Here is a 25,031-nt window from a genome sequence, read left to right as displayed (position 1 = left end):
AGCACTTTGGGAGGCTGAGGCGGGTGGATCAAGAGGTCAGGAGTTCGAGACCAGCCTGGCCAACATGGTGAAACCTCATCTCCACCAAAAAATACAAAAATCAGCTAGGTGTGGTGGCGTGTACTTGTAATCCCAGCTTTTTTGGGAGGCTGAGGCAGGAGAATTGCTTGAACCCAGGAGGCGGAGGTTGCAGTGAGCTGAGATCACACCACTGCACTCCAGCCTGGGCAACAGAGTGAGACTCTGTCTTGAAAAAAAAAAAGTAAGGACACTCAGCCTCTGCGTTTAACAGTGGCAGTTGCTTCCCTGGTTCTGTGGCATGATTTTGCCTGTGTCCCACTTTCCCTAGATTCATTCTCACAGCCTGGTTTTCCACCATTTCCAGCAATTCTGCAAGCTATCTGAAATCCTTTCATTAAATTTCTTTTCTTTTTAAATTAGCTATATTTATTTTCTGTTTCTGGCAATTAAAAATACTGACTGATAGAAATGTGATCATCCTGACAGATGAATGTGACCATGGAAAAGCTTGTGATCCAGCTTAATTGAAAAATTGGGGGGATATATTAGCCAAAGTTATATTAGGGAAACAGCTCTCTAAATATGTCAAGTAAAACGTATTTAATATGGAAAACTAGAAGATTATACAGTCTGGAAGGTCCAAGGGAGCAAAGATCTGAGAAGCCACTGTTGCAATTCAAGAAATTTAGGGTTGCGTGGGTTGCAGAAACCACTACTGAGGATCTCAGCTCTGCAGCACCAAAGTGATTCTCAGGCACATGCCTGGAAATCTGAGGGAGGTCTTCCCAGATGTCTGCCATCTGCCAGTGCTCATGAGCTTGCCTCTAGCTGCAGCTGGAGAAAAATGGCTTCTCCTTTATTACCTTGCAAATCTCATACAAGTGTCCCTCATCAGTAGATTCTAAACTGAAACTCCACTGACAAAGGGAGTCTGGGAAATGTAACTTTCCAATTTCCAGTCCTGCCATAAAAGGAAGAGTTTAGAAGGATGGTCACTGGGAGAATGGGAGATAACTGTTCCCCTTCTAAGGTGTGGCGTGGGGGACATGCAAAAATGCCTGGATTCAACTCTCTTCTCTTCTTTAAGCTTCCTCACTCTCCTATTCCCACTACATCTGCCAAACCAGTAATTTCACTGAGACTTCCAGAACATCGATAACCCGATTTTCTCTAGTCCGTCAGCTCCTTCCACCTTTCTTGCAATCTTCAACTCCCTTGCCTCCTTTTCTTCCAACAGTTGCTTCTCTATACTGCGAAAAATCCTAACATTGTTTCAATCCACCTGTTTGGTTCTTAGGTACAAGCTGGCAGGTATCATTGGGGGAAAAAATCCTACACCATGCAGATTGGTGTCATTAGTAGTTTATAGCTTCTAATCAGTCCCAAGTAAGCTACAGTTCTCATTCCCCACAACTACTGTTTCAAGCTTAGTAATACACCTATCAAGTCTGACTATCCTGTCTCCTCCCCAGCCTGCACACTCTCTAAGCAATGGCCTTGTCTCCTACTCCACAGGGAAAATAAGTAACCTACACTTGAACTTTTCCATGTGTTCCCTTCCTCCCCTGCACATAAAACCTACAAACTTCTCTGTACAGTCTCCAGTCTTACCACTTTCCTCCCTGTGTTGGAGGAGGCAGACTTCTCCTGCTTAAGGCTGAATTTCCCATCTGTGCTATAGATCATTGGCAATCTTCGTATCAGTTATCACCTCTCTTGCAGAATTGCCTCAAATGCTGTCTCTTTCCTGCCTCAGTCCCTTCACTATATAACAATGCTCAATTCACACACATCTTTAAAAAAAGATGGGAGGAGGGAGTGAGGGGGAAGTTCCCTTAACTCTACACCTTCCCATTTCCCTTTCTTTCTGCTCTTATCCATAGACAAGCTACCTGGCTTCCTGGCTACCCGGAAGAGTCGTTGTCTACACTCAGTCACTGTTTCCACTAACCTCACACTGGGAGACCTTAGAGCATATTATTTAAGAGCTCAGTTTTTGAGATGGTCAACCTGGGTTCAAATTCTGCTAGGACCACTTACTTAGCTTTATGACCTAGTACAAGTCACTTAGACTTTGCAAGTCTCTGATTATTATCTTAAATTAGGGATAATCATAACTTCTCAGTGTTGTATGCAAAGTCCTAAGCACAGTGTCTGGAATGTAGTAAGTGTACATTCAATGTAACAAGTGTACATTCAATGTAACCTGCTACTATTTATTCCTTGCACCTCTGCAACCTGGTTGCTCCTCTTCTACTGTTGACACTGCCCCCATCAAGGCCTCCAGTGATCTTCTAGTTGCTAAAACTTATTAATGTTTTTCCATTTTTTAAGACAATATTTTATTTAATTTCTTCAAGGTGTTACATACTGTTGACTCCTCCCTCTTAAAATACAGTCTTTTTTTTTTTTTTTTTTTTTTTTTTTTTGAGATGTAGTCTCGCTCTGTCACCCAGGCTGGAGTGCAGTGGCATGATCTCGGCTCACTGCAACCTCTGCCTCTCGGGTTCAAGCAAATCTACTGCCTCAGCCTCCTGAGTACCTGGGATTACAGGTGCCCACCAAAGCACCCAGCTAATTTTTGTATTTTTTTTTAGTAGAGACGGGGTTTCACCATGTCGGCCAGGCTGATCTCGAACTCCTGACCTCAGGTGATCTGCTTGCCTTGGCCTCCCAAAGTGCTGGGATTACAGGTGTGAGCCACCACGCCTGGCCTAAATCCAGTCCTTAAAGTGGAGGACAATAGATGATCCACTGGGGTGTGGGAAGAAAACATTACAATTTCTATTGATGGTAAGATATGCCATTATTTTACCTATCACCAAGAAGGAAAACACTTCTAATTAAATGACACAGCTTCCTTTTGTCATTTACAAGTTTAGTTAATATTTATTACAAGAATTCTTTTAGATGTATTTAAACTTATAAATTTATTTAAACTTACAAATAATGACACTATGATTCATTGTGACTAAGTTCATTTATGCGGAGATACAACATCATCACAATTCCCTTATGGACAGACAATAAAATTGGGAAAATAAGCATTTTACAGTAGAAAAAATATATTTAGTTTATGTCTAACTTTGTAAGAAATTAAATTTTACTAATAGTTATTATATGGATTAAAAATATATATAATTTATAAGTATACATATATGGGATTTTCTCAAAAAAAAACTTTATTGATTGGGTATACAATTTAAAAGGTTTGGAGACCATTAAATCAATTAAGTCGGCCATTAAATCAATGGTCTCCAAACCTTTGAAACTGTAATACTCCTCATAGTTTCTTTCTCCACTCTGACGTTTTCTTCTTGGCTGCCTTCATGCCTCCTCTTCCTCTCTCTTTTCCTGACATGTTAGTATTCCCCAGATTCTTCATTGTTTAGACATTCCTAGAACTTTTATCTACTTTTTGTGCACTGATAATGCTCAAATCTCTGTCTCCAACACAGCTCTCTCCTGAGTTCCAGACTGAAGGGATTAGTGAATTTTTTCCATATTCATACAGTGTATATCTAAAATTCCTCAAATCTGAAAAATAAATTTATCCTCCCTTAAATCTTCCCCTCTTCCTGAGTCCTTCATCATAGCAAATGGCACCATCATTTACCAGTTGCCCACTTCAGAAGCATGGAATTTATTCTCCCAACAACCGTTTATACTTCTGGATATTATACCTTCCAATAGCTCTAGAATATGTCACCTGCTCTCCTTCTCCTCTGGTACTGCTCTAATTTAGGCCTTGGCTGAAACAGAAAATAAGTTATAATAAAGGCCAATAGCTCCATCTACAATGAAAAATTAAAACGAAAAAATAATTTGCATCGTTAATTCATCATGCTAGAGTTACCAAGATAATCAAAATGGTCCAAAACAAAGACATCTGCTATGAGTGGGTATGTGCCAGGGCTCAACACAATATTGTTTTAAGCCCATAATTACCTGGGATGCTGAATTGATTGTTTTTATCCCATAATTTGGTGTCTAGTGACTTAAGTATCTGGCTGTTAGAGAAAATCCCATTACTGTTTGGCAAACTATTTCAGACTGGATTGATTAACCATGAAATGAATGCAAGAGATTTGCACAGTTTAAACATGCACTTAATAGTTTAAATATGAGATGACATTGATGGCTTTCCAAATAGTGCTGATACTCTAATAGAGCAATTCACTAACATATATCAGTATAATCCTTACATATTCTCATTAGTATCCCATTTTTTATTTTATACTTCTAGAATTCTCCATTTTTAACTTGACAGTATTTCTAAATTCTTCATTCTGACACTTTTCATGGACAATAAACTATGGCAAATACAAGCTAAGCTACAATGATCATCAAGGGATTGCTGACTTTATTCTTCTCTTCCAATTTTTACAATGTAAATGGAGATAAGTGTAGTTGGACGGTGCAACAAAACCCAAGAGCACAGTATACAATTTGAAGAGAAATGCAAGGAGTCTCAATTGTACATGGATTGATCATCGTTAAAATGAGAAGTGTCTTTAGAATAATCGGGAGGGTCTTATTGTACCTTAAATATCAGTCATATCTCTAATCTTTTCAATAGCAGCTTATTATAGTCTATATCCTAGTAAGATTTCTCTTGTCTCTTATCTCTGCTATATCCCATTGATACTGTCCTAGTTACCTTTCCCAATATCACCTCTTGCCTGGACTTTCCTATTAGCTCTTCCAGTCTTATCAACTTTAAAGGTATCCACAACTGTCAGAGTCTTTGTGTAATCTTTTTAAGTTTTACATCTGATTATATCTTTTTGGGTGGGGGAGGCCAAAACCCTTCAGTGATCTGCCGTGTACAGAGGATAAGGACCAAGCCCCCTAATGTTGCACATACGACCTTTCTTGACATGGCTCCACCTTACCATCCAGCATCACCTATGGATGCTACTGTACAGGCAGACCTTGTGCCACTGCTAGGTATCCATCCACTCACAGATCCCAAGAGCACTACACTGTGTCATATCTTCATGACACTACACATTCAGTTCTTGCAACTACCCCATATGGCAACCTTCCCAAGTTCCCAGTGTCAATATGCTGCCCCATGGCCTTCCACTCTGGAAAATATGCCATGGCATACTCCAGAAAAATTAGCCACTCCCTCCCTTAAGCTGTGACCCTGACTTCAATATGTCTCTTTTGTTGCACTAAATCCTACCAAATCATAAATGTTCCTTCATATATCTCATTTTCCTTTAGCCTCAGAGCTACTTGAAGAGAGGGAGATATCTTGTCTATTTCTTATAGCTCCAATACTAACCTTAATAGCTAACAATAATATTAAATATCAGTTATTACATACTAGAACTATGTTTCAGGTGCTGATCTAAATGCTTCCTTCATTTAATTCTCACAATAACTTTATGAAGTGAATATTACTATTAGCCCCATTTTATATATAAGAAAAGCAAGGCATAGAGTAGGTGCTCAAAAATGTTAATGAATGTTGTTGCTTTTTAAAAAAAAATGTAATGTAGTCATATCATCATTACTCCTGGGAGCTCCCAGATACTATTACAACTGGAAGTTGAAATCTTGGTGCAGGTAAGGTGTATGCAATGACATGGATACAGCTACTTGGTTTTAGAAGGAGCTAGATTATCTGCCATGCTGAAGGTCCATGTATACTGGGCCTCAAGGTTAATTGTGTTGTTTTGTTTTTATTTTTGTTTTCACATGCTGTACTGGCATTGTAAATCACTTTTCCCTTCCCCAATCTCATCTGGACCTGACCATTATCTACATGAATGGTTACATGAAGTCCTACTTATACATTTTCTTAAAAAGTCAGACACATAAATGAAGTTACTAGGCCTGGGGAGAAAAAATGCTCACCTCAATATCACAAAGTGGGCAGTCCTTGCACTAATTTGATGTTTATCTACTTTAAATCCTGTCTCTGGCAAGTCACTACTAAGACAGATTTGAGGGTTACTCTAGATTATAAAAACTAATTGTTCTGTGGAACCATAGTTTTGCAATTTTTAGCTGTATCATCATACATGAGCACATGAATTTAGATTGTTAACTGATATGGGTCATTTCCAGAAAACATTTGAATGAACATAATAAATGAGGAGTTGGGGCTGGGTAAAAGGCCAGAAGTAGAAGTACTTATAGTACAAGGCTTGGCAGCAATTCACATAGTTTGTAGGCAACTGCCTACTACCCACCATGAAGCTGGCCCTTCCAGTGAGGTAGAGAAGTGTTACAAACGCCTTCAGTTTCTAGACTAATTCTACCGAGATATCCATAACTCATGTTGAAAAATCACAGTAGGTTGAGTTCAGTGATGATCTATACCTCACCTGACCTAGACAAGTAAGGAAGAAACAGAAGGAAGCAGAATAATAAAGTATTTGAACCCAAGGATTTGACCATCTGGTTCTTTGGGGGGAGTCATGCCTCCTGTCCTTACTTTATATTTAAGGCATTCTGTCATTACAAAAGGCAGTGATAGAGTAATGAAAGACCATTGCCCAAGGGGAATGAAAGAGTGCAGCTAAGTGAAACCAGGGCACACCCACACACACACAACAGTACACTTCTGCTTCTATTCTTTTTAACTCCTTCAGCTTCTTCGTGCTCCTAGATGCTGCTGCTTTATTAATTTTTGCTAACTGTGTATCTCATACCCAGAATCCCTAAGAGAGAGGATTTGGTTAGTTCCAATAATCACGGTAGTCCCTGCTGAGCAACCTCTCATACTGGGCCTATAGAACCCAATGACAAGGCTCCATGCAGATTCCCTCTGATGGCTGTGCTCTTTGTGTACTTCCCTTCCGGTGTGTTTTTACTCCCAACAGTCAGCACCTGCAACTGTTTGTCAGAGGGCTGCCCTCAGACTGCGTGAGGCAGCTTTTTCTGCATGCAGAGACAGCAGACCATGCCTGGGAATGCATGTCCCCCCAGGTTCAGCATTAGCCAATGATTGACAAGTATAGAAGTATAAATACCCCAGCTCCCTCAGCCCTGGTGGAATTGTCTATGATGTGACCCATGAGTCTCCAGATCCACTCCCTGCAGAATTGAGACAGTTACCTTCCATGGGGCTTTGCTTGATTCTACCCTTGTTTGTCTTACTTTTCTTTCCCGCTGCATGTTCCCCACTACCCTACTAGTTGTTTTCTGGGAATATGTCCTACCTCAAGAGTCCTGTGGCAACAAGACAAACTCCCTGGATTTTATTTGCAGATTTATTTTCACCAGGGCCTGTTTATACAAACCTTCATCCCAGTACCTGCTTCTGGGGAATCCATCCATCTCAGAAAAGGCCTCTTTCATATTCTGCTAAGCCACTTAAGAGATTGGCTTGTCTTTGAAGCAAGCACCCATCCCTCATCCAATCAGCTATGACGAGGGTTGAGGGCCATGTGGAACAGAGAATTGTAATATGTGCCTCATCAGGGGCTTTGAACATGGGTCATGCAACCTCTCAGACTATAAGAAGCACAAGGCAAGAACCAGAGATCTCTCCAGATAATGCATTCATATGCATTTGGATAGTGTCTGCTGGGCTTTAGAATGGCAAAGTGATAACAAGTGCAGGCAACAATTGTGAACTGAGTATGTCAAATTAAAGAAACTAAAGTGCTCTCTGTATCCAATGTGGAAATGACAATGTGTCATTGTAATTTAAATATGAGATGAATTAAATATGAGACATATTTTGTCTCAAAATATGAGACAAGAATATAAGAAACAAACGTGGGAGTATAACTTCAATAGGAAACACACACATAACACACACACACATGCACACACGCACACACATAGAAAGGCTCCATAAGTCAGCCTTTCTCACTGAGAACAATGTGAGTTGAACCACACTTAAGAACCTTAATAATATATTCTTAGTTTTTCATTAACTCACAGGGGAAGTCTGAGCGCCCATGGGACAGAAACCTATTACAGCTATTTACGTGGTAGACAGGGTACACTTTTATGTATGACTGTATTCTGTTTTTAATTTTTGAATTGTTAGGTATCTATCTTTCATTCTACAAATTGCACAGAGTAATCTGGTAGGTGATTTATACATTACATTATTTCACTGTAAGAATAATAAAACGCTAAAAAATCCTTTAAACCAAATAACTATTGAACTCACACATAGACAATATTATAAAACAGGAGAACAATCGATGAAGTCACAAAATATACAAGGTGTCTTTGAAGGAATTGAGGATAAAAGGACCCATAAAGATTCTACCCAAATTCGCTTGTAGTGGCCTCATACAGCACAGTGGTCCAAACCCTACTCCCCAAAAGGGAGAAGAAAAACCCAGTGTCATTTATGGAAGAAACAAAAGTTTCCATTTTTATTCTTGAATGATCTTCCCTTGTTACTGAACGATATTCTTTTACTTGCATTAAAAGGAATTGTGCCAGAGAGTAGAGAATAAAAACATAAGACTTGGTTCCAGCTCCCACGTGAATGACAAGCATCCACATAATTGTCAAACAAAGGAAAACCTGTCAGGCATCCTCATTCTAACTGATAGAATCAGGGTTGGCTTCATGGAAGAGGTCTATTTGAACTAGACTTCAGGGAACAATATAGTTTCCAAAAAGAAACAGTAGGGAGGCCGGGCACAGTGGCTCATGCCTGTAATCCCAGCACTTTGGGAAGCTGAGGCGGGTGGATCACCTGAGGTCAGGAGTTCAAGACCAGCCTGACCAACATGGTGAAACCCTGTATCTAATAAAAACACAAAAATTAGCTGGGCGTGGTGGGCACCTGTAATCCCAGCTACTCAGGAGGCTGAGGCAGGAGAATCACTTGAACCCGGGAGGCGGAGGTTGCGGTAAGCCGAGATCACGCCACTGCACTCCAGCCTGGGCAACAAGAGCGAAAAAACAAACAAACAAAAAACAAGAAGAGGAAGCAGCAGCAGTAGGGAATAGATGCTCTAAGGGCTTATTCCAGTGATTATCATTTTTCACTATCTCAGGTGAAAGTAACCCCTGCAAGTCTTAGCATCTTTTTCTTTCAGAGCTTTTCATTCATCTCTCTTTAAGAAGAGAAGCAGGAAGCCTGATTGGCTCTTTTTCTTACAAAAGAGAGCAATTGTGTTATTTTTGGAAAGTCTCTCACAGCTATCTTATCTCCATTTCCACTGCAACCACTAAAATTCAGACTTCCATTATTGTTCCCCTAGACCTTTGCAAGAGTCCTGATCGATTTCTCTATCTCTTGTCTCCCATCAAATTGCTACCACTTTCAGACCAATATTATCAAAACAAGGCTCTCATTATGTCACTCTTTCCACTCAGAAACCTTTAGTGAGACCCAAACAACTGCCAAATCCGGTTCCCATCCCCTGTTTAGCATTCAGACAGGTGCCAAATAAGACCAGACTGAAGAAAGAGCAAGGCCAAGATCACAAAGAATGAAAGACCGGCATCATTAAGATGTTATCTTTCTCAAATTAGTTCTTAAATGCAGTTCCAATGAAAAGCCAAACAGGTTTTTCATGAAAGTTGGACACACTGATTCTAAAGTTCAGATAGAAGAGCAAAAGGGCAGGATTAGCCAAGGTAATTTTGAAGAGGAAAAACAAGTGAACTGTTTTGCTCTACCAGGAATTGAGCCTTATTCTAAAGGTATAATGTATAAAAATATTATGCTACTATTGGTGCAAAGATGAGGGGAATACATTTTAATGAAGCTATATACAGAGCCCAGATACTGTCCCATTAATTTATGGATGTGTATGTATGACAGAAGAAGCACTATGAATCAATGTAGAAAGGATAACTTGGGATAATTAAACATTTAACAATTTCTATTTTTCATCATAAAGCCAAATGTACCCCAGGTGGATTAAAAATCTAAAGGTGTAAAGGAAAATGTTTTAATGTTTACAAGAAAGTATAGGAGAATAATTTTATGATCTTCAAATAGGAAAGGAATTCTTAAACAAGGATAAAATGCATCATCATAAAGAAAAGATTTATACAGCTGAATAAATTAAAGCTTAAAATGTCTATACAATAAAAGATACCACAAAGAAAAAAGACAGGCCTCAAATTCGGATTGCTTGAGCCCAAGAGTTTCCTTGTCTATAAAGGGAGAGGACAGGGAGTGGACTAAGTGGATGAGTCTACCAATCTACTCCTTGTCCAGTCTCTGCTGTCACTGTTCGGTAGATATGCTAGTTGGGCATTTGCTTGTCTGAAATTCTTTCTAAAGTCAGTGGAGAAAATTCAGTTTATTCTAATAAGATGAGTTGCTCAATTTTTTGTTTTGCTTTTGTTTTTTAAGTGGTTGAATTATAACCTTATATTTGCCCTTTGAGGTCTACATCCATGACTACAGGCCTCAAGAGTTTACTTATGACCAGGAATAAATGCAGATCTTAATTGTTGTGGTGTAGTGAGAATTGTTTAAAATTTATTCTTTGACAAAGTCCTTATCTGGGCCTCCTGGGTCCTTCTTACTACACCTGGGACAATCTGTGGGCATCGTCATAATTGCAGTTTATATGAATCCCACACTGGTTCTCTTCATGCCACAACTCCCCATGCAGTTGAATATGTTCCATGTGTTGTTTCTCTAGTTCACATCTAACTCAATTTTGGATGCTGTCTCAAGGTACAATTCTGTTGTATGTAAAATCAATATCATCAAGGTCCAATAAAGAGAACAAAACCCATGCTAGGTAGTTCAATTGAAGAAATCTAATATAGGGAAATAATGAGTTACAGAAGTGTTGGAAGAGCTAAAAAGAAGTGCTTATGAGGCTACTCTGAAAGCAACGACTATGACAAGCTACTGACATCCATGGGGCCTGAGGACAGGGAAGGGATGTTATCAGTGCGGGAACCAGGGATACATTGTAGGAGCTAGAACGTTGGAGAACCCAAAAGTTGCTGGTAGTATGGCAGAGGTTGCCTGGTGGGAGTTGGAACACAAAGGCTGGGGCTTCCAGGCAGGAGCTAGAACCACAAAGAGGCACAGCCACTGCTTGCTCTTCTCCCAAAGCAGAGAGGAAAGAAATACCCTGGGTTCTACTCCTTCCAAATTCCTATCTCAGGCCATTGGCTGACCCTAACCAGAAGGAAACAGGCAAGAGGGGTCTGGGAAGTGCAAGCCACTTGGGATTCAAAGCAGAAAAGGGCAGGGAACAGATCGAAAAAAACAGGCAAATAACCTGTACAAGAATGTGAAAAGGAAATACAAATAACCAATACACAGAGAAAAATATGTCCAACCTCATTAGCAATCAGGGTAATACAATTTTAAACCACTAACAGATACCATTTTACACCCCACCAAAAATTTTACAATGCCAATGTTGATGAAGATGTTCAGCAGTGGGAATGCTTATGCACACCAATGGGAGTGTAAATCAGAAAGTTCATTGGCATTGTCCAATAATTGTAATGCTACACATACCCTGTGCTCCAGGAATTCCATTTCTAGGACCATATCCTCAGGAAACTCTAGCAATGTGCACCAAGAGACAGGTACAAAAACTTCACAGGAGCATTAAGAGCAGCAAATACAAGCTACCCAAATGGAAACTACCCAGCGGGAAACTACTCAAACATCCCCCAACAAGAGAATGCATAGTGTCCTTTATTCTTATAATGAAATGTTACATAAAAATGAATGAACTACAACTACACACACCAACACAGATGAATGTCACAGACAGAATTTAAAGCAAAAAGACAAGTGACAAAAAAAACCCAACCCTTGAAATGATTCATTTACATAAAATTCAAAAACATGTAAAATTATAGGTACTCTTTAAGGAATGAATCATATATGGGAAAACGGTAAAGAAACAGTGATGAATAATTCAGAGGAGAGGTTACCTCTATGTGGGAGTAAGGTGAATATGACCACAAGAGGCCAACAAGCATAGCTATTCTTTTTTGGGGTATGATTTATTTTATAATTAAAAAACGTGACTTCAGAGATTCTAAAAGCTCCTTTTCCCCTCCTCCCTAATTGTGATTGGGAATAAAATATCACTAACACTCTCACACACTCATTCAAGTTCTATAGTTAGATTTCCATCATAGTGTCTTCACTTGTGGCTACTAACCTGGTCTAGGTATCAGTCTTCTCTGTGTTGTCTTAGTTTCCACATTTATAAAATGAGGATTATAGGAGTACTTACTTTGTAGGATGATTCCTAAACAAGAGAGTACATGGGAAATGCTTAGCACATGGTCTGGCTTCCAGTGGGTGGCCGATGTTTGTAATTTGTTTATACCATTGTCTCAGCTTGTAGCATCTTCATTGCCTCTATCTACTGAATGCTTCTCATCCAAGGACATCCAGTTCAATGCCTGAAAACTGCTGCCCCCACCCAAGCCAATTTTCCCCTCTTTTAAATGTCTAGACCTTCCATTGCCTGCATCATTTATGAGGTATTACTATATATTTACTTATTCATTCATGCAGCAAATCATGTGCCAGGTATTAGGGACACAGAAGTGAATGAAGCAGGCATAGTCACTGTCTTCATGGAGCCTGCAGCCTGGTGAGGGAGATACACATTAAACAAATGAGCAAGCACAGAATGATCTACTCCAGCTGTGCTAAGTGCTATCAGGAAGAAGTGTGGGAAGCCTGGAGAACCTGTTATAGAGGAAGCTCACCTAGACTGTAGAGTCAAAAAAAAAAATTTCTTTGAGAAAGTAACGTCCAAGGTGAGACCTGAAGGACACATTGCTTTTTATTGTCACCATTGACAATATTTACTGAGAATCTATAACCTAGGTGAAATAATCAGTGCACATGTCCCTGAAGAAAAAATCGTGGCAAGAGGTAATACATGTTAAATACCAAGTGAAAGGAATTCACACTATTAGGTAGATATTTGGAAGAAGGTTAACCCCTTGGTAGAAGTGTTTTACGTAAAATGTCAGATCTAAACAGAAACTTCAAGAAAGGTTGGAACTAAGACAAAGGGAAAATGGCATTCTGGATATGCATATATGGGCAGAGATAAGAAAAGGCAAGACAGGTTCAGACAGGTAGCTTGAACCAAAGAGTGACATATGAAGGGAGTAAAGAGAAAGGGTCAGATTAGGCCAGGCACGGTGGTTCACAACTGTAATTCCAGCACTTTTGGAGGCTGAGGCGGGCGGATCACCTGAGGTCAGGAGTTCGAGACCAGCCTGACCAACATGGAGAAACCCTGTCTCTAATAAAAATACAAAATTAGCCTGGCCGTGGTGATGCATGCCCGTAATCCCAGCTACTCAGGAGGATGAGGCAGGAGAATCGTTTGAACCCAGGAGGCGGAGGTTGCAGTGAGCTGAGATCGCGCCATTGCACTCCAGCCTGGGCAACAAGAGTGAAACTCCATCTCAAAGAAAGAGAAAGGGTCAAATTGTAGAGGTACTTGCTTTTTGTCTTAGAGTTTTCTTTTTGTATCATGGGCTTCTCTGGGATTCTCATGAAAGCCTTGTACCCTTCCTCCTCCTCCTCAAAACATAGTGCATTTATAAAGCTGCATAAAATTTCAGGGTTTCATAATTTCCCTTAAGTAGCATTTAGGAGCTCCTGCTATATGCAAATAGCACTGAAAGGATTTGAGTAGAAAAGTGGCATGTTCCAAACAGTGTTTAGAAGGATTCATTTGCCAGAGAGGATAATAACTGTTGGCAGTGAGGTCAATTGATAAATTATTGCAATATAATGCAAGTAGGAGCTCATATGGCCCTAGGCTAAGGTGGTGGCCCTAGGAATCCATCCATCGATTAAACTAACATTTATTGAGAGCTGACTTTGGGACAGGCCCTGTGCCCAGTGTTGAGGATGTGATAATGAATACGGCAAGACCACTGCCCTCAAGGAGCTCCAAGCTGGGCAGGATCAGAAAGAAAGGCAGGCAGCCACAGAGGCAGAGGGGATCAGGTCAGTGGCAGGTTCTCCTACTCAGAACTTCCCACCATCTGTGCCTTAGAATAAATTCAAGGCCCTTCACAAAACAGACACAACTCACCTTTCTGCTGTCATTTCCACTGGGGCCCCCACCACAACCACTTTGATCTCTCTCACAGACACACCCCCCGCAGGGCAGCTACCCTGGACTCTGGACTGTCTTCTGACTCTGCTTGCATTTTCTGGCCTCTGCCCTGTCACTGGTTTTCTCCCACCAGCTGTGCCTGCTCAAATTCCTACCCATTCTTTAAGACCCAGCTAAGATGTTGCCTTCCCTCAACATTTGTCAGAGTTTCCCCATTCATTCTGCCCTGTGTCACTGAGTGTGCCTGTATTAGGGTTCTCTAGAGGGACAGGACTAATAGGATACATGTATATATGAAAGGGAGTTTATTAAGGAGTATTGACTCATATGATCACAAGGTGAAGTCCCACAATAGGCTGTCTGCAAGCTGAGGAACAAAGAAGCCAGTCCGAGTTCCAAAACCTCAGAAGTAGGGAAGCCAACAGTGCAGCCTTCAGTCTGTGGCCGAAGGCCAGAGATCCCCTGACAAACCACTTTTATAGGTCTAAGAGTCCAAAAGCTGAAGAACCTGGAGTCCGATGTTCGAGGGTAGGAAGCATCTAGCACGGGAGAAAGGTGAAGGCCAGGAGACTCAGCCAGTCAAGTCCTTCCAACTTCTGCCTGCTTTTATTCTAGCCATGCTGGCAGCTGATGAGATGGTGCCCACCCAGACTGAGGGCTGGTCCGCCTCTCCCAGTCCACTGTTAATCTCCTTGGCAACACCCTCACAGACACACCCAGGAACAATACTTTGCATTCGTTCATATCAATCGAGCTGACAATATTATCCATCACAGTGCCTCAGTCTCCCCAGTATTCAGGGGAGGGCAGAGATGTTGTCTTTTTGTCCTTCTGTTCCATGGCGTGCCCAGATCCTGTGATGGCAGGTGCTCACTATATCTATGGAACTGAAAGGCCAGACCCTGGGGAGAGGACAGAGCAGGTTTGGGAGCCAACTGTGAAACCTTGGCAGTGGGAGTCAGGAAGAGCAACCTAGGTCTTTGCATCCTCATGCAACAAGGATGGAGGCCACCTCAAGTACACATTATGTGCTCAGCAAAGACGAGATTTAAAAGTATAAAACATTCACATTTGAGCAACTTAGGTCATTAAGAATTTGGCCTCTTTATAATGATAGCAGTGTCCACAGGAAGAGAGTGAGTGGGACATGAAATTTCTGGTTCTGCATGCAGACTTCTACATTTCTACCAGCTAATTATTATTATCATTAAATTATTAAGCAAAGAGCTTACTCGCAAAGGTCAACTTTTTATAAAGCATAAGTCATCCTTGGAAGTGTCGTTTGGTCATTCTAGTAATTCTTGCTTTTAATTCTTTAACAACTATGGGTAGAACTGCAGTGTACCATTATTCCACCTTTGTTTGCACTGTCAAAATACCCAAGACGTTGCCAAGGACGACTGAATTCTTAGGCTTGGCCGCAGCCACCCACAGGGCAGGTGCTCACTTCCTCCTCCGGGGTAGAAGAGATCATGGGTCCCTTTCCAGTCCAGGCTGGAATGGAGAAGTCGTCCCTGACCACAGTGCGCCAGGCAGAGGCCAAGGTTCTAAACTGATAGAACCCACCCACCAGGGCGGTGCCAAGTCCCAGTAAGGGCCGCATCTCCCCAGCTTGGCTGATGAAGAGGCGGGGACCGAACCCTCCAGTGCAGGAGCCTGTCTGGTGCCTGGCTCTCCCACCGATCCGCACGTACCTCTTCCTCGCGGGTCCTACCCCACGCAGGTATCTAGCGCCCAGCCCTGTTCATTTCCCACACCTGGCCCGCTCCGCCCCGGGGCCGAGGAGACGCACGTCTGATTGGCCGAGGGCGGCGGGGGCGGGGCCGGGGCGCCCCCAGAGGCCTAGACAGAGGTGCGGGCGGGGCAGGCCGCGCTCAGCAGGCGGGGCGGGAGCCGCGTGCGCCCGAGGACCCGGCCGGAAGGCTTGCGCCAGCTCAGGATGAGGACAGGCTGGGCGACCCCTCGCCGCCCGGCGGGGCTCCTCATGCTGCTCTTCTGGTTCTTCGATCTCGCGGAGCCCTCTGGCCGCGCAGGTAACCGCGGGCACGCCAGCCCCGCAGTCCGCTGGGTGCCTCGACGCCACAGCTCTGCTGCCTTCCAGCCTGGGGCAGGGCTGCGCCCCTGGGGCAGGTCACGGCTGCTTTGCTGTTGGGGCGGGGGGGCTCTGGAGCCGGAAGAGTGAGTCGCAGGGGAGGTCTGGCAGAGGAAGCGCCCCAGTGCCCTCGGGGGCCCGGAGGAGGGCGCGGTGGATGTGGGAGGACAGGGCCCTTCTGGTGCAGAGGGGACGCGGTGCACCGTAGAGTAGGCGCACGGAGGCTTTTTTGGCCGGGTGCGCTGCTCCATCGTCGCCTCTCTTATATAATGTTGCTGGAGTATGGGGTTCCCCATCTGCCCTCTTGCGTCCCGTCCCTCCCGTTCTCGCTTTTCCTTCGGCCCTTGGTCACCTTGGCCACAGGGCCAAGAGGAGCCTCCACCCACAGCGCCAAGGATTCCCCACGATTCCCGGATTTCACTGCGCCTACGGTGCGCATCAGGAAGGAAGTCAGGTTAAATAAACCATCTCCTCCGAAAGTGACCAAGACCAAGAGTCAGCTATGATGCCCTCACCCACCGCCTAGAGCAACAAACCTTTCTTCTCATTGGTTTATCAGCTCCAAATGACCCCGCTCCCCCAAGGCTGACAGCCTCACGGTGAAGGGCAGGTCGCCTGCTTGGGGACCTGCTGCCTCTCACTGCGGAAGCAGGACCAGAAACAGACAGCCTTCATTGATGTTCAGGGTAGTGCCAGCCCCACCACACCACACCCCTTGGCAGCAACCGGTTGCTTTTACTTTCTCTTTTTGCCTGGGCGAGGGGTGTGCAGAGAACTTTGTTTCTTGGTTGGACTGCATCATGGGCACTCAATGGGCCACCCTCCACCGGCCACTTCTGTTATCGTGCCTGTATGAGGAAGGAAAAGATTGTCCAGGCAGTTTGAAAAACATTAAATTGTTGGTGGCTCTTATTTTCTTTGCAGCTAAGCTAAGTTACCATCTGGTTTAGACTTCCTTCGGAGAGCGATGGGAAGAGATTTCTCAGAGTGTGAATGGCATCATCCTATCTACAGCAAGGACCTGGAAATGAACCCTGCTCTGAGTCACACTTCTCTATTCTCCTTTGACCCTGTGTGCTAGGAACTACCAAAAGAATCCTTTAAAATAAGATCCTTTATTGCCTTGATAATTTATTCTGCCTGCCCCACAATCCAAGGTGGAAAAGTTCACTGCAGCAACTAACTACAGTGAAAATGCACTAACTTTTCAATCACTAACCTCTTGGTTCCCATCGACATCTGCTTCAGTCCTGTTTTTATCTCCTTCACAAATTTCAGGATTTCCCTAATTCTTGCAATCTCTGCAATCACTGCCCTTTATCACTGACCCAAAGCAAAAAGCACCAGGTTTAACTCTGTTCCCCCTGTGCTAGGTCCCCACAGGTTTTGTTATCCTGTATCCTTCCTTACTCCTAGCAGCTACTCTGATCGATTTTCTCTCACCCTCAGAGCAGACTTGTGGCCTTGTTTGGGGAAGCACTGGAATTTTGAACCCCCAGCCATTTGGGTCAATTGTTTGGCAAGAGTGTCCGCTTCATGATGCTGGTGATGGCATGCACCTCGTCACATGTGCACGGCTAGGCTTGTGCAGGTGGCCTCTATTACCCAAACACTGAAGGAGCCCCTCTGTGTCCTTGGAGAGATGCCAGGTGCTTAGTTTACATTTTTGCCTGCTTGGAGAGCTAACAGCTTGAAGTAAACCAATCCATCAGGGACTCCTGAGGTTTTCACCAGCCAACACCACCCAATCGTGCGTGAAGACTTTCTGACTCCCTGGACATTGCCATGGACTCAACTGTCACTTCAGGACCTGTTTTTGAACTAACAAACCTAGACTTCTGATTCTCTCTTGCTGCACCTACCTGTACATTCCGAACACATGGTAGAGACTCTACAAAATGCTTAATATGTGATCTATGGACGGTTCCCCTGAAATTATAAATGCTGCCATCTTCATCCTTCTTGTTTTCCCAAGCTATTTCCCTATCCATTTGTCTGTGGTTATAAATGTCAATATCCAGCTTCTCTTTGGAATGTGTGAAGCTCTTTGGTCTAGGGACCAAAGGCAGGAATTATTTAGTGATCAGACAATAAGAAAACACTGAAAGAGATGATTTGCCTTTGATGGATGTAAAAATACTAAAAATTTATTTTCAATTTATGGTAATGCTACTTAGCCATTTTCTCTCAAACACCACTGGAGAATTTATATAACATGAAGCATATACAAAATGCATCTAGGGGGTAATGAGGCTTCTCTTCATCAACTTCTGCCTTTTAGATTTGCCCCAATATTGTACTTGGAGGTAAATATTAAAACTCCATTGAGGACTGGTATAAAGTTGTAAAGTGAACAAAACCCAGTAGAAAGCTATTGATAAAGAATCTATTTTATAAAATAAGTTTTATACAATAAAATCTACTCTGTAATTACCTTTTCAAAGTATATTTCTAAAATAGCTTATATGCCCTTCTGTACCAAATTTTCTAAATAAGGGATTATGTTCACACTTTCTCAGTCCTCCTTCCAGCTCTTCAACCTACTATCCCAATAAGGGTCGTAAGACTGAGGCAGTTTCAACAGCTCCTGCTAAGGTTAAAGAAAGATACGGGGAAGCATCATGAAAGGATAGGACTCTCCCTATCTAATGTATGTTTATACATACCTTATATATGGAGGCTAATAAGTTTCCTTTAAGTATATCAATAATTAAGATCTGTACTAAGTGACCACTATAAGTGTCACATTGAAATTGCATACTTGGTTCAAACAAGGGATTAGTCTGAGAAAAACATCTATATTCAGAGATGTAGCAGTTTGTTAGGAAGTTTGGCAGCTCCACTTTAACATAGCTACTCCACACCTCTCCTGTAGTGTTTTAGTGTTTCAATCTCGGACTCCTAACTCCTGCTTTTTCCACTGTATAAAGAAATGTAGCTAATCCATTGGATTCTACAAAAATTTTGAAAAATCCAGAACTGCAAACTGCAAAGGAAGGCAAAGCTGCTGCTTCCCCAGTTCACCTGTTTGGGATCCAGCACACAAAGCAGAATGCCCGGGAAAGACAGCAGCAAGACTACAGGGCAGGAGAGGGGCTGTTTCCAACAAGGGTGATGGGCACGTCTCCTGCAGGAGCAGACTTCTTTTTTCTTCTGTAATTTTTGATACTTTGGAATGCAAGATTTATTTTGGAGAGGCAAGAGAGAATACTTTGGAAAAGATGTAGATCAGAGATCTGAGTAGCTATTGAATTGTGGGAGAAGGCCATGAGAGAAAGTGTGAGTAGTAATCTTATAGCACATTTTCCTTTTTTGTTGACTGTCTTCCCAGCCTGTGTCCATCAAGTAGAAAATGGCAGAGGAATGTCAAAGAAGAAAGTGTGAGGGATGTGGCTGGGCACGGTATCTCATGCCTATAATCCCAGCATTTTGGGAGGCCGAAGTGGGTGGATCACCTGAGGTCAGGAGTTCGAGACCAGCTTGGCCAACATGGTGAAACCCCATCTCTACTAAAAATACAAAAATTACCCGGGTGTGGTGGCAGGCACCTGTAATCTCAGCTACTTGGGAGGCTGGGGCATGAGAATCACTTGAACCTGGGAGGCGGAGGTTGCAGTTAGCTGAGATTGTGCCACTGCACTCCAGCCTGGGCAACAGAGCAAGACTCCATCTCAAAAAAAAAAGTGTGAAGGATGAAAGCTGCTATGGCAAACATCCTTAGCTGCAATCCTGTGGAATACTTTTAAAATTCAGATTTAAAATAACTTTAAGCTTTAAAGGATTGTTGTTGCTGTTGTTGTTTCTCTTGTCGTTGCTTCTGTTATTTAAAACAAAACAAAAAAATCCTTCCAAAGTTCAAGCTGCAGTGAGACTTAATTTTATAGTTATTATTTACATGGTAAAATTCCCCTCAAGTCACCAGTCCCTGGTATGGGAATTTTTAACTCTGAAAGCCTTTGAATTATTACTAGGAAAAGCATCTGGTGTTAGTGAAACCAGTGACTGTGAAGCTGGTATCAAAATGAAAGTGCCTTTTGGGAACCAAAATTTTACAGGTCTTTCTGCTGAACTCTGGTTCACTGACAGTGATTGCTTAAGCTTGTCTAAAATATTTCAGCTTTACTCTTATCAACATGATTTGTGCTGTAATTGTTTAAAATTTTCCTTTGTAAAATAACTAACCAAATTATCTGATTATAGTTTGTTGTAACAGATGTGAATCTTATTCCACAAACTCAGGTGTGCAAGAAACAATGCATTACTTTATTTTCAGAAATCCAAATTAAATTTGATGCTGAGCTCCCATTCCACCAGGTTGCCAGAACTTCAATAATTGTCCTTACTGGGGTCTTTGCCAGCTCATGCAAAGTGCCAGGGGAACATTCAGGGAGGATTCTTCTTTAGTCATTGGATCCCGCTGGTTACCTCTGGGTTTTCCATTGTCCAAACCCACAGGATCTTGTATCTGGTGGCTCAAGACTCATCAGCCATCACTTTGGTAGTTCCTGGAGTTTGGGGTTCAGCCTTCTTAGGTGATCCACACTGTCAATCCCCCCAGGCTTTCCCCAGGCCCTGTCGCCTTCCTGAGGGTGCCACAAGCCAGTGTATGGCTGGATAGTTGCAGACGACTGTGATGAAACTGAGGACAATGAAACTGCCACAGTGGAGCTGGCCACAGGTTCTACCCTCAGAACCCAGACCTCTGTTTCTTCTTGTTTCTGTACCCCACTGTTCTGCTGCTCCCTCAGAAATTTCCCCATTTCCTCTGAGATACCTCAATGAATTTAGGTCTCCAAAAAATATCTAGGGGGAAGTGGTCTTTAAGAAAATTGTCCTTAAGTTTTCCTTTTTAGTGGCCCCACTAACTTGCCCTAAGGCAGAGGAGCACAGAGGCCTCACTATGTACTTGGATCTGAAGAAAGGAACATATATATAGTGCACATGCTGTGTTAAGCATCGACTTTTCATGTAATAATTTACCCTGCCGTAGTAGCTAACATGTAAGCAAGGCAGAATTATGGTCCCAACTAGACTTTTCATTGAGATGAAAACTAAAGAGCTTCTTTTGTCTTATTAAATGAGAAGGGAAAAATCTTTCATGAAATAGCAACAACAAATATACATGCTACTCTACACGCTTTACATGGATTAGCTCCTTTCATGCTCACAACCATCATATGAAAACTGGAGCACAGAGGTTAAATGATTTGCCCTGATCCTATGGCTAACAAGTAGCAGGAGCAAAATATGGACCCAGGCGGACTGGCTCCAGAGCCCGTGTTCTGACCCTACACACTGCACTGCCTCTCTGCTCACCACTGTCCCACCTTTTGTAGTCCCCTGCAGCTTAAAAAGAGTGGGAACAGACTGAGGATGGGAACAGTCCAGTAGTGCTCAGACTCTCCTCAGCAGGCAGGGAGCAAGGCGCTTCAACCACATAATCTACAATCTGTCTGTCCATTTGACTCAGCTAATGACCCCTTCACCATCGTCCATGGAAATACGGGCAAGTGCATCAAGCCAGTGTATGGCTGGATAGTAGCAGACGACTGTGATGAAACTGAGGACAAGTTATGGAAGTGGGTGTCCCAGCATCGGCTCTTTCATTTGCACTCCCAAAAGTGCCTTGGCCTCGATATTACCAAATCGGTAAATGAGCTGAGAATGTTCAGCTGTGACTCCAGTGCCATGCTGTGGTGGAAATGTGAGCACCACTCTCTGTACGGAGCTGCCCGGTACCGGCTGGCTCTGAAGGATGGACATGGCACAGCAATCTCAAATGCATCTGATGTCTGGAAGAAAGGAGGCTCAGAGGAAAGCCTTTGTGACCAGCCTTATCATGGTGAGTATTAGAGAGGGACTTTGACCGATTTGCTGTTGTGCTTGTCACATGTGGCATTAAACATGCACAATTTAGTAAAAATAGAGTCGTACATTAGTAAGGGCAGTGAGTAAGCTCTTCACTTCCAGGCACTGTGCAGTTACTTTGAGCGACATTCTTACAAGTCCATGGTATTTGCCTCTACTTTGCAGGTAAGGCTAAGAGAGATAAAGTGCCTTGTCTGAGGTCACACAGCCATGTTGTGATAAACCTGGGATTTCATCAGATAGATATGTACTTCTTATGATGGTCTTCTAAACCCTAGAGGAAAGGAAACCCTAGAGGAAAGGAATCATTAGATTTGTACAGGCTAAAAGTCAAATGATCTAATAATGTTGATCTTATTCTAAGTTTTAAAAGAAGAAGAAAGGTCAGGCGTAGTGGTGCATGGTTGCGGTCCCAGCTTCTCGAGAGACTGAGGCAGCAGGATCACTTGAGCACACAGGAGTTCAAGGCTGTAGTGTGTAATGATCACGCCTGTGAATAGCCACTGCACTTCAGCCTGGGCAACATAGTGAGACACCCATCCTTAAAAAAGAAAAGAAGGAGAAGGAGGAAAAATATATTTTTTCTTGCCTACGGATTTTGAATAAAATGGGAAAATTTTGAGTGGATTTTCTTATTTATTTTCATTTTTGCATGGCAACCAAATTTTGATGTTTATATTTATGATTCAGCATTTTAAGAGTGGAGTTTTTCAGTTGCTTCCGAAAATAAGTATATTAATATTGCCTTGCGGGGAGCGGACCATGGACTTAGCCCTGAGTCTAGGGACTGGATTGCAACTAATTTCTAAGTTAAAGAATGAGTAGATTTATTTTTTTAACCATTAAATGTAATTAGCTATCTCCCAAGCAAATATTTTTCATTATGTTGCTCTAAATTACACCAAATGTCGATATGCATATAATTATGTCCTCTAAGTCCTATTATTTCCCCTTGCCTTTCTTTACAAATTTCCCTAGCTTTACAGTGGCTTTCTTCTTCTCTTAAAGATCATTTAAGCTAAATTTGGCCTCAAAGTCACTATAGCAGCTTGCTCCCATACTTTCCATTATCCATCTGCACAAGTTTTTCTTTCTAGCTTTCTATTTCCTAGTGAGGATGCAAGAATTATTCTGAGAATGTCAAGTTCTGTTGTGGAGAAATATTAGAGAATTAGAGATAGGGTTTCCTTTTCATCATTCCCTGGCCTTTGAATAGTTGACAGTCTGTTTCTGCGAGCCAGTTTCCTCCTAAAAGTAAAGCAGTTGCTTTTTGGATATGACTTAATGGCAAATTTAAATTCTGTGCCACAAAAGCCCTTCTCCAACTTGCCAACTAAGAGGAAACACAGAGCCAAACAAAATGCCTTTTAATTGGATTTAACTTGTTTCATTGTATTTGTCCAGGGATCAGAAAGGATAATTTTCTTGGCAGGGTTCTTTTAGTCTCCTGATCTAATTCTTTTGAGGGGCATAGTTGTAATCTTAAACTCCCTCAGTCCCCAGTGTCTTCATTTCAATATAACTGGTTTTCCTTTTTATCCTATGTATTTTATGTATGCATTTCTAATGTTCTTCTGAGACAGGGACTGTGGATTTCACCCAGCTGCCAAAGAGATCAGTAGCACAAAAAAGGTTAAGGATCTACCCAGGGGACCACCCAGAGAGAGCTAAGCAATGCCACCAGCATAACCCAAAGGCATGAAGTGTTTCTTGACCTTTTCAAATATAATATTTGAAACACTAAAGCTTTTTTTAAAGCATATATAGTTGTGACTAGTCAAGGCATACCTCAAGTTTTAATTTGCACAGAAACCAGGGCCAAACTTGCCACCTCTTCTCTGTTTCTGTCTGGGTGACTGGTACCATCTAAGTTCTACATGTCAGAAATCAGCAAGTCACCTGAGAGGTTTCAGGCTCGCCTCTTCCACCACTCCAATATAATCAAATATGAAGTCCTGGCAATTCTACCCTTTTCAATTTATGTATATCCCTTCTTGTTCTTAGGTTAGGGACTGCTGTCTTAAGTTAGGGACTTTCTCTAGGACTCCGCTCTCAGACTCTCGATACTGATTGTTGTCCCCACCTTCTTATCTAGCAGTATATAAACAAAACATACAAGATACCCAAGTCCCAACAAAGTGAAATCCAAGGTTACCTGGTTTGTTACAGCAAAGCTAGGGCTTAAAACCAGTATTCCATTCCCCAAACATAGCTTCTTTCTTTCCCCCTTGGCTTTAGCAGTATAAACCAAGTTTTCACTTGTGATACAAGAACATTAATTTATCACTGTGCCTTGGGTTGCCTCTCACCCCAACTCCTATCCTGTGTGAGTCGTGTTCATCTCAGAGAAAACTGAAGTTGTATAAATTTTATGAGTGAACTGCTTTTGACTAGCACCCAGGTGTACATTAATATCATTAAGATACCTTGATCTCACTAGCACTTTTCAAATTTTGAATGTTTGGTGAATCACGCAGAGGAAATGGACTTTTTGTGGCAGGGTGGCTGCAGAACTATCAGAATTCTGGGCAACTCTTAGAAGCCTGCCAACAACCTCTTTATCCATTGAAACTATTTTGTCTCATGTTACTGATGACATTAATTTGCTAGTTTTCTGCATAATCACCTCATCTCACAAATTTGTAACTATTGCATAATAAAGCTGTTGTTTTAAGGATGCTATCATCATAAATTTGCACATTCAGAGAAGATTCTTCCCAGGAAAGTCTGTCTTGCTAAGGAAGCCCATGGTGTGTAAGAGGCCAGCATCAGCAAAGAATGTGTGGGAACAAAATGCTTAGTGAATAGTTAGCGTAATTTAGCTGCTTCTGGTGTGGTGGTTGTATGCTTATCATTCTTCAAAGCATATATTGTGACTTAGAGAGCTTATTAATTGAAGCCCAGCTTTGAGCTATGAAATTTAACTTGAAACTTGAGAAGGCACCCGCTGATGTCACAAGTTGTCCTTATAGGTCAAGAGTCTAATCAGAGAGAGCCCATTCTCATTCCTGTCACTTGCAGCT

General features: G+C 42.3%; 2 protein-coding genes across 3 annotated transcripts in view, besides 9 other annotated features; both read left to right on the top strand.

Moving 5' to 3' along the window:
• Window positions 15,712-15,953: a silencer, noted in NCBI's record as "fragment chr2:160761228-160761469 (GRCh37/hg19 assembly coordinates)". NCBI's record gives its function as "represses an EF-1alpha promoter that drives an FKBP-Casp9 reporter gene in an ReSE screen in K562 erythroleukemia cells {active_cell/tissue: K562}" and the evidence as "EXISTENCE:reporter gene assay evidence [ECO:0000049][PMID:32094911]".
• Window positions 15,712-16,182: a biological region, named in NCBI's record as "ReSE screen-validated silencer GRCh37_chr2:160761228-160761469".
• Window positions 15,723-16,182: a silencer, noted in NCBI's record as "silent region_12046". NCBI's record gives its function as "represses an Ori minimal core promoter by ATAC-STARR-seq in GM12878 lymphoblastoid cells {active_cell/tissue: GM12878}" and the evidence as "EXISTENCE:reporter gene assay evidence [ECO:0000049][PMID:35858748]".
• The window catches only part of LY75-CD302 (LY75-CD302 readthrough), a 136,129-nt gene continuing 127,011 nt past the window's right edge, over window positions 15,914-25,031 (top strand). For both annotated transcript variants that reach the window (NM_001198760.1, NM_001198759.1), the window contains exons 1-2: window positions 15,914-16,081; window positions 21,611-21,982. In NM_001198760.1, the coding sequence (NP_001185689.1) occupies window positions 15,988-16,081; window positions 21,611-21,982 (466 nt within the window). In that variant the 5' untranslated portion in view covers window positions 15,914-15,987. The remainder of the gene's footprint in view (window positions 16,082-21,610; window positions 21,983-25,031) is intronic.
• Window positions 15,914-25,031, top strand: part of LY75 (lymphocyte antigen 75) — a 101,402-nt gene continuing 92,284 nt past the window's right edge. Inside the window, exons 1-2 of the mRNA NM_002349.4 lie at window positions 15,914-16,081; window positions 21,611-21,982. Coding sequence (NP_002340.2) covers window positions 15,988-16,081; window positions 21,611-21,982 — 466 coding nt within the window. The 5' untranslated portion in view covers window positions 15,914-15,987. The remainder of the gene's footprint in view (window positions 16,082-21,610; window positions 21,983-25,031) is intronic.
• Window positions 16,363-16,442: an enhancer, noted in NCBI's record as "active region_16695". NCBI's record gives its function as "activates an Ori minimal core promoter by ATAC-STARR-seq in GM12878 lymphoblastoid cells {active_cell/tissue: GM12878}" and the evidence as "EXISTENCE:reporter gene assay evidence [ECO:0000049][PMID:35858748]".
• Window positions 16,583-16,632: an enhancer, noted in NCBI's record as "active region_16694". NCBI's record gives its function as "activates an Ori minimal core promoter by ATAC-STARR-seq in GM12878 lymphoblastoid cells {active_cell/tissue: GM12878}" and the evidence as "EXISTENCE:reporter gene assay evidence [ECO:0000049][PMID:35858748]".
• Window positions 16,853-16,902: an enhancer, noted in NCBI's record as "active region_16693". NCBI's record gives its function as "activates an Ori minimal core promoter by ATAC-STARR-seq in GM12878 lymphoblastoid cells {active_cell/tissue: GM12878}" and the evidence as "EXISTENCE:reporter gene assay evidence [ECO:0000049][PMID:35858748]".
• Window positions 16,953-17,002: an enhancer, noted in NCBI's record as "active region_16692". NCBI's record gives its function as "activates an Ori minimal core promoter by ATAC-STARR-seq in GM12878 lymphoblastoid cells {active_cell/tissue: GM12878}" and the evidence as "EXISTENCE:reporter gene assay evidence [ECO:0000049][PMID:35858748]".
• Window positions 23,872-24,111: an enhancer, noted in NCBI's record as "active region_16691". NCBI's record gives its function as "activates an Ori minimal core promoter by ATAC-STARR-seq in GM12878 lymphoblastoid cells {active_cell/tissue: GM12878}" and the evidence as "EXISTENCE:reporter gene assay evidence [ECO:0000049][PMID:35858748]".
• Window positions 24,752-24,931: an enhancer, noted in NCBI's record as "active region_16690". NCBI's record gives its function as "activates an Ori minimal core promoter by ATAC-STARR-seq in GM12878 lymphoblastoid cells {active_cell/tissue: GM12878}" and the evidence as "EXISTENCE:reporter gene assay evidence [ECO:0000049][PMID:35858748]".

The sequence above is a fragment of the Homo sapiens genome, chromosome 2 (assembly GCF_000001405.40).
Source record: "Homo sapiens chromosome 2, GRCh38.p14 Primary Assembly".
Lineage (NCBI taxonomy): Eukaryota > Metazoa > Chordata > Mammalia > Primates > Hominidae > Homo > Homo sapiens.
Note: the sequence above shows the minus strand (reverse complement) of the source record. Positions and strands in the feature narration are given on the sequence as shown.